Here is a 15,023-nt window from a genome sequence, read left to right as displayed (position 1 = left end):
AATTCAGCTAAAAATAAGTGGTGTCTCAGATTTTACAGGTCTAAAAATAAATTAGCATTAAGAGGTGCATATATGCACAAATATGTTTATTTGCTCTGACCATTGACTTTAATAAAAACTAGATTCAGAATAAAATGAATTTCTTCTCCTAGGAATTCATAGTTTGTTTATTTGAATATAAGAGTCAAGTCCATATTTTCTATTAGTCTGTAGCCAGAAAGTTCAACTATTGATTTTCTTGATTTTGGTGCTGCCATTCTGGAAAAATGTCCCTTTTTCCTAAGAGGGGAAGAGATTGACCTGTGTGATCTTTAATATTCTATCACATCTAAAACTGTGGCATGCATTAGAGATGTGACTCTAGATAAGGGAGAGGTTTCTTTGGAAATAAATCGTGTGTCTTAATTATGTAGAATGTCTAAAGACAAGTTAAGAGTAATGTTGAGGGAAAATGATGATTGTTTAATAAGGAAAGAGAAAGTAAGAGAGAACCTAATTTTTTTTTTTTTTTTTTTTGAGACAGAGTCTCACTCTGTCGCCCAGGCTGGAGTGCAGTGGTGTAATCTCGGATCACTGCAACCTCCACCTCCTGGGTTCAAGCGATTTTCCTGCCTCAGCCTCCCGAGCAGCTGGGATTATAGGCGCCCGCCACCATGCCCGGTTAATTTTTGTATTTTTGGTAGAGACAGGGTTTCGTCATGTTGGCCAGGTTGGTCTCGAACTCTTGACCTCAGGTGATTCATCCACCTTGATCTCCCAAAGTGGTGGGATTACAGGAGTGAGCCACCATGCCTGGCCAAGAACCTAATATTTTATAGTGATGAGTGAATGAAATTAGGGAGTATTCTGTGTGGTTATTCTAAAATAAACACACCAGAAACAAAGAAAGCAAAAACAACAGTATTAATCCAAAGAAAATATGGCAGAGAAAAAGAATAGGTAAAAACTGGCATCCAAGAATAAAGTCTTCAGTGGGAAAAGGTGGTTTCTCCTCTTTCTCTCATTTACTTGGATGAGGGCAAAAAGGAAAACTAGAGATCTAGCAGCAAACAAAATTACTTCCTCCTTGTCCCCTGGTAGTATAATTCTCACAGTTATCGTTTAGGAAGAAATGGCACTGAACACAGTTACAGAAATAATCCTTTTCAATCAAAGCATTTATAAACTCCTATCATAGCACCATCAATTCATTTAAAAACACTTCAGCAAATGGCTGACTACAGGTCTGTGGCAGGGAAAGTACAAGATGAGCTTGGGCATCTTTTGGGCTGGAAAGCGAGGTGGTACTCAAATACAAATGGGGCTGGGTGAAAAGGACACAGAAGCTGACTAAATAAACTCCCACTGACCAAAATGGGCATAATTTGAGCATCAAAAGGAATACCCATTATAAGTGACTATAAAACACTGAATAAAAATCCATGAATAATATTTAAAAAAACTCTAAACAAAAAACATTCAAAATTGCCACAATTGCAGGTAACTATCAGACCAATGGCTGGTTCTGAAAATTAGTAAATGAGAAGCTTTTCTTTGAGACATGAAATATTATGTCTACAACAAATGGTTCAAGAAAGTATGTAAATATAAAAGCAAATATAGCAAACTACTGAATCTAGGGAGCAGGTATATGAATGTTTACTGGACAATTCTTTCAACTTGTCTATATGTATGAAATTTTTAAAATAAAAAGCTAGAAAAACTCCCTGGCCTTCTTTTAAAAAGTCACATTTCTTTATATGAAATGACAATCTAATCCCCTATAATTTTTTTTTATTTTCAATACTGTAGAATCTTACGTCAACCACAGCTGACTGTAACTTTGAACTTAGCCCTAGATATTTTTATAAAAATGTATCAGGGTTTAATACAGTACCTTTACTACACAGATGAGTACATATAGCCTCAAATGTTTGGATTAAATATTACCCTTTTAGAATCTATATGATCAAATAAAAGAGGTTATTAAGTGATTTCTTAAAATCATTTATATCTTGAGTTAGTTTAGTAAAAAGATATATACATACTTGATATCTTCTGAGTGAAGGTAAATGTTACTACATGCTCTTCCGTGACATTCTCTAAATGTTGTTTTTCTTCTTGTAGTGCCATGCCAATTAAATGTAACACCTTGAATAAATGTTTTGTAACTTTTAGTAAAAATTTAAAAAATCAAGTACATATTTTAATAAGAAATAGGAAAAAAGAATTATTGAAAAAGATAAATCAAACTATGAAATACTAAATGCAATTAAAAACAATTTGAAGTACTAATTTTTTTTTCTTTTTTTTTTTTTTGAGATGGAGTTTTGCCCTGTCACCCAGGCTCACTGCAACCTCTGCCTCCCAGGTTCAAGTGATTCTCCTGCCTCAGCCTCCCGAGTAGCTGGGACTACAGGCGCGTGCCACCACACCCGGCTAATTTTTGTACTTTTAGTAGAGATGGGGTTTCACCATGTTGGCCAGGCTGGTCTTGAACTCCTGACCTCAAGTGATCCGCCCACCTTGGCCTCCCAAAGTGCTGGGATTAAAGGCGTGAGCCACCATGCCCGGCCTTGAAGTACTAATTTTTATTAAATGAAAAGACTGAGGTTTATTTTCTAACAAACAATTATTGTCAAGAAAAACAAAATTTTCTACTTCAATGAGGAAGAAATTTCAATTGCAAATCCTCAGGGTAAGCTAAAATTACACCAGCTGTGACCAGCAATTCACATAATATGTAAGTTTTATTCTATACCTATACTACAGACTTAAAAAAACCTTCCAAGAATTAGTGGTCAAGTAATTATAAAGCTAAACGTATCCCCCATGTAATTATCCAGTCTATGACACTACCTAATTTCTCTAAGGACTAAATCTTCATCATCTGAGAAAGACAAACTTTTATCTCTAATGCCTTATCATTTATAAACTTTATAGTTCTTCAGTGTATCTCACAAAATATTCCTGACCAGACTTCTAGAGACTGTATCAACCTATTTGTTTTTTTACTGCTCTTATCCCATGCCCAAGTTTTTTTGTTTTTTGAGACGGAGTCTCCCTCTGTTGCCCAGGCTAGAGTGCAGTGGCACAATATTGGCTCACTGCAACCTCTGCCTCCCAGTTTCCAGTGATTCTCCTGAGCCCTCCTGAGTAGCTGGGATTATAAGCATGTGCCATGACGATTGGCTAATTTTTTTATTTTTAGTAGAGATGGGGTTTTACCATGTTGTACAGGCTGGTCTTGAACTCCCGACCCCAAGTGATCTACCCGCCTTGGCCTCCCAAAGTGTTAGGATTACAGGGGTGAGCCACTGTGCCGGGCCCACACCCCAGATTTTGAAGGAGATATGTGTGTGATGTCTCTGTATCTTTCCCTTCACATGGGATGACTGTGGTTGTCAGAGACTTGGAAGAACTAGGTGACATAAAGCAAGTGTACATGTAAGGTAAATATTGTTCACACCTCTTCTCTCCATTATTTCCCACAAATCTTTTGTTCATGTAATGCTGACAGTACACGACAGCTAGTACAGCTGTACTAGTAGTGAGCTAGTACACCACAGCTCCATGCTTTTACACTTTAAATATGCTTATAGATAAATAGGAGGGCATTATAAGAATACACACATCTTAGCCAGTGAGACAAAAAGAAAGAATGATAGCTACTCAGCCTCCCGAGGAGGGCTCCAAAATTTGAATCTGAATCCTGGTTTTACTGCTTTCAAGCTATTAATATATACCCTAAGGGAACGCCTCTGAGCCCAAGTCATCATCTTTAGCCTTGGAAAAACAAAGCTTCCCTCTAGAGTTCTGAGGATTACAAATACTGTATGCAGAGTGCTTAGCATGGCCAGGCACGGTGGCTCACGCCTTGTAATCCTAGCACTTTGGGAGGCCAAGGTGAGTGGATCACCTGACGCTGGGAGTTCGAGACTAGCCTGGCCAACGTGGTGAAACCCTGTCTCTACTAAAAATACAAAAAATTAGCTGGGCTTCGTGACAGGCACCTGTACTCCCAACTACTTGGGAGGCTGAGGCAGGAGAATTGCTTGAACCCGGGAGGCAGAAGTTGCAGTGAGCCAAGATCACACCATTGTACTCCAGCCTGGGTGACAAGAGCAAAACTGTCTCAAAAAAAAAAAAAAAAAAAAAAAAAAAAGGGCTTAGCATGGAATAAGGCATAAAGTAGGCATTCTATTTAATGAATAATTGTTATATCACTTAGTAGATTAATATGGGAAGTTAATGGAACCTCATTGAAACTTGGCTTCCTCATCTAACAATGAGAAAAAAGTTGTATCTATTCATGGGGTGTTGTGTGAATTCAATGAGATAGTGTACGAACGGCTTACATTAAAACTATAAAGTAAAATACAAACAAGGGGCTGGGCATAGTGGCTCACGCATGTAATCCCAATACTTGGGGAGGCCGAGGGGGGAGGATTGCTTGAGTCTGGGAGTTTGAGACCAGCCTGGGGAACATGGCAAAACTGTTTCTACCAAAAATACAGAAATTACGCAGATGTTGTGATGCATGCCTGTAATCCCAGGTACTTGGGATACTGAGGTGGCGGGATCACTTGAACCCAGGAGGCAGAGGTTGCAGTGAGCCAAGATTGCACCACTGCACTCCAGCTTCCTGGGTGACAAAGCTAGATCCTGTCTCAAAAACACAAAAACAAAAATAACACAAACAAGGTTCCAGACTTGCCACTTAACTAGCTATAGGACCGTAAGTCTATGAGTGTCAGTTTCTTCAACTACAAAATAAGGATATGGATGATTCAAAAAAAATTTTTGTTTTGGAAAATAATTAGATTAGAAACATATATAAAAGATAACACATTATATCAATATCAGAATACTACATATATAAAGACAAGGACCAATCTAGGAGAGAACAACTGCCCAGTGGGACTGAGGTAATAACAACCATGTGGTATAAAAAAATCTGTCTGGCACTTGTTTTTACTGTCAGACACAAAAGCAGTAACAATATATTCAAGTTAGGAAAACACAATACATTTCGGCCTAGTTTTCCTGTGTATAGATACAGACAAGAATATTTTGCTTGTACTATAAAATACTAAAATATAAATAATAAATGTCTTCAAACCTACCCTTTGCAGCATGGACTCTGACCAGGCATATCCATTATGTTCCACAGCCCATTGCAGAATTGTTCCCATGATGCACAACATGACATCTGACTGCAAAATGTTAACCAGGCTTGCAAACAGAGGGCAGAATGGAGGCAACACCGGAGGTGGGAGTGCTGAAAATACAGTTGTTATTATTGGTTTCTTTTACAGAACATGCTTTAGAAACTATCTCTTTGTTACTTTTGATAGTTTTAACTCAAAGAATATTCATTAACACACACCTTAAAGCTATTATTTTACATTCTCAAGGTCAAATGCATAAAAAGAGCCACGAAAGTAGCAGCAGTACAGAAGAAAGTCTATCTTTTCCCCTAGAAAGGTCTTAAGATCTGAGATAACATCAACCCAGAGGACTTAGCACAAACTATTTCTGTGTTAACATATTTATTATTCCTCTGAATAGGAGGTTATTCACTAGGAAAGCTTACATTTAAATATTCATTCCACCAAGGACAATCATCATAGTTAACAGAAAACAATGTTTAACAAGCAAAAAAGATGGGCAAGACATTTTCAGAAAGATTAAAAATACCTGTATCTTCTCTATTTTGTCTTTTCAATTTCCGTTGCGCTTCTTCTGCCTAATAAAAAATAAAGTTATTTGGACCGGGAATTAGTAATGCCCACCACCACACCTGGTTAATTTTTATATTTTTAGTAGAGGTGGGGTTTCACTATGTTGGCCAGGCTGGTCTTGAACTCCTGACCTTGTGATCTGCCCACCTCAACCTCCCAAAGTGCTGGGATTACAGGCATGAGCCAATGTGTCTGGCCAAGGATGAACATCTAAAATCAGAAAATAACACAACAGAGGCCGGGGCGTGGCAGCTCACACCTGTAATCCCAGCACTTTGGGAGGCCAAGACAGGTGGATCACCTGAGGTCAGGAGTTCGAGAGCAGCCTGGCCAACGCGGAGAATCCCCATCTCTACTAAAAATACAAAAATTGGCTGGGCGTGGTGGCACACACCTGTAATCCTAGCTACTCAGAAGGCTGGGGCAGGATAATTGCTTGAACCTGGGAGGCAGGGGCTCTAGTGAGCCGAGGTCTGCACTCCAGCCTGGGTAACAGAGTGAGACCCTATCTCAAAAAAAATAAAAAATAAAAAAGATATCTATCTTTAAGTTCTAGTCCTCCCCCAAACGGATACATCAAGGTTAATTTTTTTTTTTAACTAAAAGAATCTCCAAACGAGTTCTCTATTACTTTAAATTAGAAGGGAAACATGTACTTAAATAAGTACAAACTTATTTAAGTTTGAACTCTATGACTTCATCAAAAACTAAATAAAAGCTTTATGTTTAAGTTTTATTTAATGCTGTTTATTGAAAAACCATTTTAAGAGGAGACTGCTAAAAGGCAGATTTTTTTTTTTTTTTTGAGATACGGTCTCACTCCCATCATCCAAGCTGGAATGCAGTGGTGCAATCATAGCTCACTGCAGTCTTGACCTCCTGGGCTCAAGTGATCCTCCTATCTCAGCCTCCTGAGTAGCTGGGACGAGAAGTGCATGACACCATGCCTGGCTAATTTTTGTATTTTTAGTAGACATGGGATTTCAACATGTTGGCCAGGCTGATCTCGAACTCCTGAGCTCAAGCGATCTGCCCGCCTCAGCCTCCCAAAGTGCTGGGATTACATGCCCCACCAAAAAGGCAAAATTTAATTACCTAGGAATGATTAGAAAAGCTCCATGAATCTCTATGAAAAAGTGTTAAATAATACCAATTCTGAAATGTGCATAAAATGGATTAACTGATTATAATACAGGTTGAAAATTTGTTTTAAAAAACTATACCCATATACGTAAAGGTATGTATTATATAGATCGTATATACATATGTACAAAACGCTAGGGGGTAACTCCAAAATGTTAGGTGAGGGTATTTTAAGTAATTTCTACTTTCTTCTTTATATTTTATATTTTCCAAATCCCCTACAATAAAAATGTATCATTTTTCAATCTGCAAAAGCAGTAAAAAAGTTGTTTAGGAAAAAAAAATTCAAGCCAGATACAGTGGTGCATGCCTGTAATCTCATCTACTCAAGAGGCTGAGGTGGGAGAATTGCTTGAGCCCAGGAGTTTGAGGTTGCAATGCTCTATAATGGCATTGTGAATAGCCACCAAACTCTAGCCTGGGCAACATGGTGAAACCTCATCTCTTAAGAAAAACAATGCAATCCTTCCCTGCTACATTTTTAATTTTCCCAATTACCTTGGACTGTTCTGCCCTTGAAAAGTGATAGAAATACAAGTTGAACTCTTTGGCACATTCTGGTTTCAGTTCATACATGCCTCGTCCTGTTAATCCAGGTTTCCTGTGAAAGAAAGGACCTTAGAATATTATTACCAAAGCCATACACTAATTTATGAGAGATAGTCTTGGATATTAGAACAAGAAAGCAGAGCTCTCATATACTGCTGGTGGGTGTTAAGCTACAACTATTTTCAGTGGGTTGATTTGGCAGTCTAAATCCGAGTTCTACATGCATCTGTTTTATTTAGCATGCCCACTTGGAATTTATCCTAACTAGACAAGTGAACGTGATGGACACTGCAGTGGCAACAATTAAAAAGTCTAATAACGTGAAATAACAAATTACAACATCTCCAAACAACTGAACACCATTAACAGTGATAATTTCTCTATTTTCACATGTAAAGACTTCCGTGTTGTTCTATTAAGCAGAAAAAAGCAGGTACACTATTGGGGTTTAGAGAACTTTCCTAAGCAAGTTATAAAACCCAGAAGCCAATTGAGACAGAGTTTTAAAAACAGAAAGTTAAAAAACAAGGGAGACTGGAAGAAAGTACTGTGATGTATTAAATAAGAATTGACATTTCTAATATATAATACTTTCGGAACAATAAGATAGGGACAAACAACCATAAAGAAAAATGCATTAAAGTATGAAAAAATAAACGGCCAATAAACACATGAAAAGAAGCTCAACTTCACTTAGAGTAACGCAAATTAAAATAAGGTACTAAAAGACTGCTCATATTAAAGTGTTGACAAAGTTGCAGGGCACTCTTTATACACTTCTAGTCAGAGTGTAAATCGAGGACTTTTTTGGGAAGGCAATTAGGAGGTATGTACCAAAATGTAATACAAGCTTTCATTTTGATCTAGCTAATCCTCAAAGAAACACTTTCACAGTCAAAGATACATTTGTTAATGCTGTATGTACAAGGATTTTCAATATTTGTTTATAAGAGAAAATCTGGAAGCTATGTATTATAGGGAAGAGGTTAGATACATTACAGTACATGACTACAAGGAAGTGAAAAAGGGCCTGGCACCATAGCTCATGCCAGTAATCTCAGCACTTTGAGAGGCCGAGGCGGGCTGGATCATCTGAAGTTAGGAGTTTGAGACCAGCCTGGTCAACATGGTGAAACCCCATGTCTACTAAAAATACAAAAATTAGCCAGGTGTGGTGGCGGGCGCCTGTAATCCCAGCTACTTGGGAGGCTGAGGCAGGAGAATTGCTTGGACCTAGGAGGCGGAGGTTGCAGTGAGCCAAGACCGTGCCACTGCACTTGAGTCTCGCTTTGTTACCCAGGCTGAAGTGAAAAAGGATGAAGTATGCCTATATGTACTGACAAAGTATATTATGTAAAAACTAAAAAAACCCAATAAAACCAACAACCCGCCCCCCCAAAGACACAAATACATGGAAACATTCCATTATTTAATTTTTAAAAAGGTTATAGAATAGTAAATACGAAATGAACCCATTTTTTGTTATAAATATGTGTTCCAAGTATAGAAAAAAAATTTAGAAAGATATACATCTAAACATAATAGAAATCATCTGAGTGGTTGGATTACAGGTAATATTTTTTCTTTGTATTTTTCCTAAAAGCAAGTATTGTCTTTATAACCAACAAAAAATAAAGACACTATCTTCAAAAATTTATAGTGGGTTAAAAAAAATGAATACATTGTCATTGGGGTAGGAAGCAAAGAAAAAACAGGCTTAAGAAACTGCTTTAATATCTTTAAGGGTATAAACCAGTTTATTGACTGGGGGAAGACTGTGGACACTGGAGAAGGTGGCATTGAGAGGCTATCCCACAATTTAGGCAGCACATTCAAATGGAAACAAAACAGTTTTAAGAAATTACAATGCATTTACTTAGATCACTGCTGAGGTTAATTTTTACTATTTGAAACCATCAGCTATGAACACCTATTCTGAATGTGACGAAAACCCTCACAATGTCACTTTACGTTGCTGAGTACAGGGTGAGATCAGAAAAGTGAAATGTCAGTGAGAAATCTAATTCAGAGCTATAATTTGAAAATGTCTGTCAATCTCTGAAAGCTGCAACTTCATTCTCAGTTGCATCAAAGAAAACACTCTAAGAAAAATGAATGTACTGGAAAAGTAAAAAAGAATGTGAAATAATAGGAAGTAAACTCACTTGAAATGGGCAACTGCTTCGATTACACTCTCCATGCCAGTCTCCTTGTTCTCCTAAAGGTACAGGACACAAGTGTGTTTCATGTTAATAATAACTACTAGCACTCTTAGCATTGTGTTTTATCTCATTGACCCTCATAACAACCTAAGGTAGATACACCTTATCTCCATTTTTACAGATGAGGATTCCATAGCAAATACAATGATTAATACAAAACTAGACATACTTACTCGGCAAGCTGATGTTTATTCAAATTGATGTATTATTTTTAAATACATAAAATAGATAAAACTTTATGATTTTTAAAAAGTCACTGCCATATAGAATCAAGGTAAGAGCTTTCTAAAGGAATTAAATGAAAACACAAAGTATATAAAACATTTAAAAAAGTTTATGTAAAATACGTCTGGTATTTTATAAAATAGTTGCACTAATTTCTTGTCTATTTTCAGTACAACAGCACTTCCCCAATCATATCTCATTCACGATAAGATATTAATAGGAATTCTGTGAATAAATAATTCTTTAAAATGTTTGGGAAATACAGTTACAATCACTTTATTTTTTATTTTTTTGAGACAGAGTCTCACATTGTTACCCAGGCTGGAGTGCAATGGCATGATCTTGGCTCACTGCAACCTCCACCTTCCAGGTCCAAGCAATTCTCCTGCCTCAGCCTACCAAGTAGCTGGGATTACAGGCGCCTGCCACCACACCTGGCTAATTTTTTTTTTTTTTTTTTTTTTTTTTTTTAGTAGCGATGGGGTTTAACTGTGTTGGCCAGGCTGGTCTTAAACTCCTGACTTCCTGATCCGCCCACCTTGGTCTCCCAAAGTGTTGGGATTACAGGCGTGAGCCACTGTGCCCGGCCGACAATCTTAAACCACTTAAAAAATGCTTTTTGAAATTTTATTGTTCCTTAAAGCTTAGGCTAAATTATAACTGCTTCCTAATTGAACAACTTGGGATTCACTTCCTGCATTAAAGCAGTACAAGTAATTTTTATCTTGACTAGATATTTAGTGACATTAAGGAATTATTCATCATTCGGCCAGGTGTGGTGGCTTATGCCTGTAATCCCAGCACTTTGGGAGGCTGAGGTGGGCAGATCACTTGAGGCCAGGAGTTCGAGACCAGCCTGGACAACATAGAGAACCCCCATCTCTACTAAAAACACAAAAATTAGCCGGGCATGGTGGCGTGCGCCTGTAATCCCAGCTACTTGGGAGGCTGAGGCATGAGAATTGCTTGAACTCGGGAGGCAGAGGTTATAGTAAGCCAAGACCATGCCATTGTACTCCAGCCTGGGTGACCAAGCCAGACTCTATCTCTCTCTCTCTCTCTCTCTCTATATATATATATAAACATATATATATAAATTATTGTTTTTAAAAGTGTGATAACATAAAGATAGGGTTTTTAAGAGTCCTCATTTTCTAGATCAGAGTTTTTCAACCTCAGCACTACTGACATTCAGATCAGATATGTTGTAGGGGGTTGTCCTGGGTATTGTAGGATGTTTAGCAGTATCCCTGGCCTCTACCCACTAGATACCAGTAGCATTCCACATCCTGCCCTGAGTAGTAACATTCACAGATGTCCCCTGGGGGGCAAAATTGTCCTCAGTTGAGAATCACTGTTTTAGATACATATAGTCCTATTTATAGATGAAATGGTAAATATAGTATTCTCTAGGAAATAATACAGTGGGGCACAGAGGTTAGTGGTTGGGTATAGATGAAACCAGACTGGCCTCTGTTGAAGCTGGTGATGGGTTTGTTATACTACATTTTTTAATCTCTATAGATGTTTGAAATATTTATAATACAAAGTTTAAAAGTATTACTATGCAACAAAGATAAGATAGGTTGAAATCTCAGAAAAATAAATGTTAATTAAGGTTGAAGGTTTTGATCTATGTTTCAAATTAGGGCAAACATTTTGAAAAGCCTCAATGAAAATAAAGTCTCTTCTCAATTATAAGGGTTGAGTTTCTGAAAAACCCCATGGCTGAAATATAGGTTGCTGGGGAACTTATCACCCCTGGAAGGAAAAACAGTTGCAATTTAACCTATGAATGTCCTTTTCACTATTATTTTGCATTCACTAAAATGAAACAAGGGCTCGTCATTAAGAAGACTCTCTGGAGGCCAAGAAGGAAAAAGCTTAGGAAAACATTATTTATTCTACTCAGTATAGGTGAGTAGGCACTTCTGACTCCCTTCCTCAATATACTAGGTTACAAAGCATTATCCACACCCATAGCAACTTTGTACTAAAGACCCTATAATGACCTCTTTCTGTGGGGTACAAACCTTAGTTCTGAGGTTTGGGCTACTTTTTGTTTAGTGTCCTTATCTTCCTCAAGGCTTTATTGTAAAAGATTCTATTACTATTCTGTTTTCTACTCCTATTCTCTTTTTCTAATTATTCATAATAAGAGTGACCGGAATTATACACATCCCATGACAATAGATTTTACAATTGTGAGAAAGGTATACAGAAGTAAATCTATAGATACTAGACTGATAGGCAGGGAAAAGTTTCTATGGTTTTCTTTTTAGAAATGTAGGTACTTACATCTTCAGGTAAAGACTTTACCAATTCACTATGAGCCATAGGCTTGATACTCAACTGATGGATAATCTCTCGCTTGATTTCATCTGTAGCATTTACCTGTCCAACTCCAGGACTAAATCTCTCTCCTGTCAAAAATGGAAAAGTACATATACATACATTTAACATAATCACAATACTTTCGTGATATATACTTATAATTCATGCAGCATGTTATATTTCTCTAAGTCTGTCTGAGCAATGGGAAAGTAATGACTGTTCTGCAATAAGCCAGGGAGAGAGCAGCTCCTGACCATGCTTCTGTGTCTCAGACCCAAAACGTGAGGGCAGGCTTTAGGTAGTGGAGAGAGCTCTTTCTGCTGTTTTGAAAGAATGGGATCAGAAATGTGGGAAGGGATTAAATGTGGTCAAGGAAACTGCATTTACCCCATTCTCCTTGTGGCAGCAAGGAGAGAGAGCCTTCCTTTCCCCTACTATCTAGTGGCAAATAAAATATCAACTTCGGAGACTTTCTTCATTGGTATCATCTCCTGACAGTAGCCAGGATTCTCTGCTCTATGGACTGCAGGGGGTCTAAAACAGTAGTAAAGGACTGAAAATATAGGTAATAAGGGAAGAAATCCACATCTATTAGCCACAGGTCTCCTTTAGCTTGGAATTATTGTATCTGAAGTCAAGAAGATACTTTTGTACCACAAACCCATGGAGAGAAACATAGTTAAGATATAAATCAAGAGTAAATAGATCTTAAATATCCTATTCCTTGATTGCTAAATTCTCCTGTCCCCCGCTCCCCCTACCACCACCTCGCAAAATACAGTCTTCCAGTTTATTCTGCTTCAGTAGTTGTATTTTCTCCTTCTTCCAAAGCACCACGGTGCTATTACTCTCAATATTACAGTAACCAGAGGGGAGAAAAAGAGAAATATTCCAATTCTCTTCCCCTAAGACTGAGCATCCTCTCAAAACAAAGGAAACACAGGCCAGAAATTCCAAACTATTTGCTACTATAAACGTCAGTGTAATTTATTAAATGCCTCAAACAATTTAAACTTACCAACAAGCATTATAATGAGGTATAGCATTTCTTCTATTAGAGTATTGTTCTGCTGAACAACATCCTATAACAAGTGAGGGAAGATAAAGTTCAGAGATAAGAATATGCATATTGCATAATCTCAGAGGATTAACATATCCAAAAAGAAGGAAAGATGCTTCTTTAGCAATGTGTTGTGGTTTCATAAAACACGTTCTTACCTTATGGGTAATCTCAGAACTAAATCTTTTTCCATAGTCTGGAGTACTGAAAATCTGATAAAGTTCAAAGCGGCTGAGCATGATCATCAGGAAATGATTTGGATCCATCATGGAGACACCTGTCTTTTTTTTTTTTTTAATGTTTGAGATAAAGGAAAAGAGGAAGGTCAAAGGGGCCACTATTGAAACAATTAGTGAGAGATAGTTTGGCTTGCCCAAGAGAAAGCAGTTTACCAATCCTAAAAGGTTCACCAATCCCAATAAAAGATGAAAACCCATTTAACCTCAATCCTTACTTGTGGTAGCAGGCAAGTGTGGAAAGGAATCTAAATTGGTAAAACAAAATACAAACAAGCCCCAAACCTAAGCCCACCCAGCACAGTAACACAGACTATGAGTTCTCTTTCCTTCTAATGCTTTAAAATAATTGTATTCCTATGAATTCAGTGCCAAAATTTTATTTTGGGGTTCTCTGATCACCGTTTGGACTTGGAAATGTGGTATATTAAGTAACCTTCTAGTATTTTAAAAATACAGATCATATTAAACTATTATCAAGATCTCCTAACCTATTTTTTTCTGGCAAGCATTATACTGACTGAAGTGACAGCTTTTAAATATTAGTTTCAATTCTCTTTTAATTCCATTTGTATAAATTATAAATAAACCTAGATTTTATTCTGAACTAATATTTTTTTGAAATATACATTTCTTGACTTTATTTTTATTTATTTATTTTTTGAGACGGAGTCTCACTCTGTCGCCCAGGTTGGAGTCCAGTGGAGTGATCTCAGCTCATTGCAACCTCCGCCTCCCAAGTTTAAGTGATTCTCCTGTCTTGGCCTCCCAAGTAGCTGGGACTACAGGCGCATGACACCATGCCAGGCTAATTTTTGTAACTTTAGTAGAGACAGGGTTTCACCATGTTGGCCAGGCTGGACTCAAACTCCTGACGTCAGGTGATCCACACGCCTCAGCCTCCCAAAAGGCTGGGATTACAGGTGTGAGCCTCTGTGCCTAGCCAGCTTTATTTTTCTATAATGACTAAATCCATTCAGCAGTATCAGAGAACAACTACTATGTGACAAGCACTATGCAAGGCAAAAGGGACAAAAAAAGAAACAAGATATAACTGCCATGGTTTGGTGGGGTGGGGGTAGGGTGCTGAAGAGTAAACAGTAATCACAGTCCAGGGTTGTGAGTGCTACGGCAGGGTTAAATACCATGCTAGGGTCCTCACAAAAGGGACACGTAGCCAAGTTTTAGTGTGTCAGGGAAGGCTTCCTGGAGGAAGTAATGCTAAAGTAAACACAAAGACAAGCAGGAAAATAAGTTAGCTACGTAAATGGAAAAAGAAGGGGTGGGTAACTTAGGGAGCAAAAGAAATAAATACGCAGAGTTTAAGATGTATGAGAATATGGCAAATTCAGGGAACTTCAATGCAGTTAAGTATCGCAGTCCTGAAAATTAGTTTAAGGGGTTTAAACTAAGAGGTTTAACATTAGTACATTAGTTAAAGAACCAGAGGACAATGAAGAAAGGATGGCTTTCAGGTATATGACTTTAGCAACTAGGTAGACTGTGGAACAATTCACCAAGGTAGGGAAGT

The 15,023-nt window shown here is 37.7% G+C and overlaps 1 protein-coding gene across 10 annotated transcripts in view; it reads right to left on the bottom strand.

Annotated features, from left to right (window-relative positions):
• UBR2 (ubiquitin protein ligase E3 component n-recognin 2) overlaps nt 1–15,023 on the bottom strand; it is a 129,477-nt gene that overhangs the window by 35,755 nt on the left and 78,699 nt on the right. For 9 of the 10 annotated variants that reach the window (XM_017010594.2, XM_011514438.3, NM_015255.3 and 6 more), the window contains 8 exons: nt 13,415–13,537; nt 13,215–13,278; nt 12,161–12,285; nt 9,581–9,633; nt 7,365–7,467; nt 5,680–5,728; nt 5,106–5,260; nt 2,028–2,130 (listed from right to left, as the gene is read on the bottom strand). In XM_017010594.2, the coding sequence (XP_016866083.1) occupies nt 2,028–2,130; nt 5,106–5,260; nt 5,680–5,728; nt 7,365–7,467; nt 9,581–9,633; nt 12,161–12,285; nt 13,215–13,278; nt 13,415–13,537 (775 nt within the window). The remainder of the gene's footprint in view (nt 1–2,027; nt 2,131–5,105; nt 5,261–5,679; nt 5,729–7,364; nt 7,468–9,580; nt 9,634–12,160; nt 12,286–13,214; nt 13,279–13,414; nt 13,538–15,023) is intronic. The other variant, XM_005248966.4, reaches the window with a different exon arrangement.

Source organism: Homo sapiens, chromosome 6, assembly GCF_000001405.40.
Source record: "Homo sapiens chromosome 6, GRCh38.p14 Primary Assembly".
In the NCBI taxonomy this organism is placed as follows: Eukaryota; Metazoa; Chordata; class Mammalia; order Primates; family Hominidae; genus Homo; species Homo sapiens.
The sequence above is the reverse complement of the archived record's forward strand: the minus strand, read 5'-3'. Positions and strand labels throughout refer to the sequence as shown.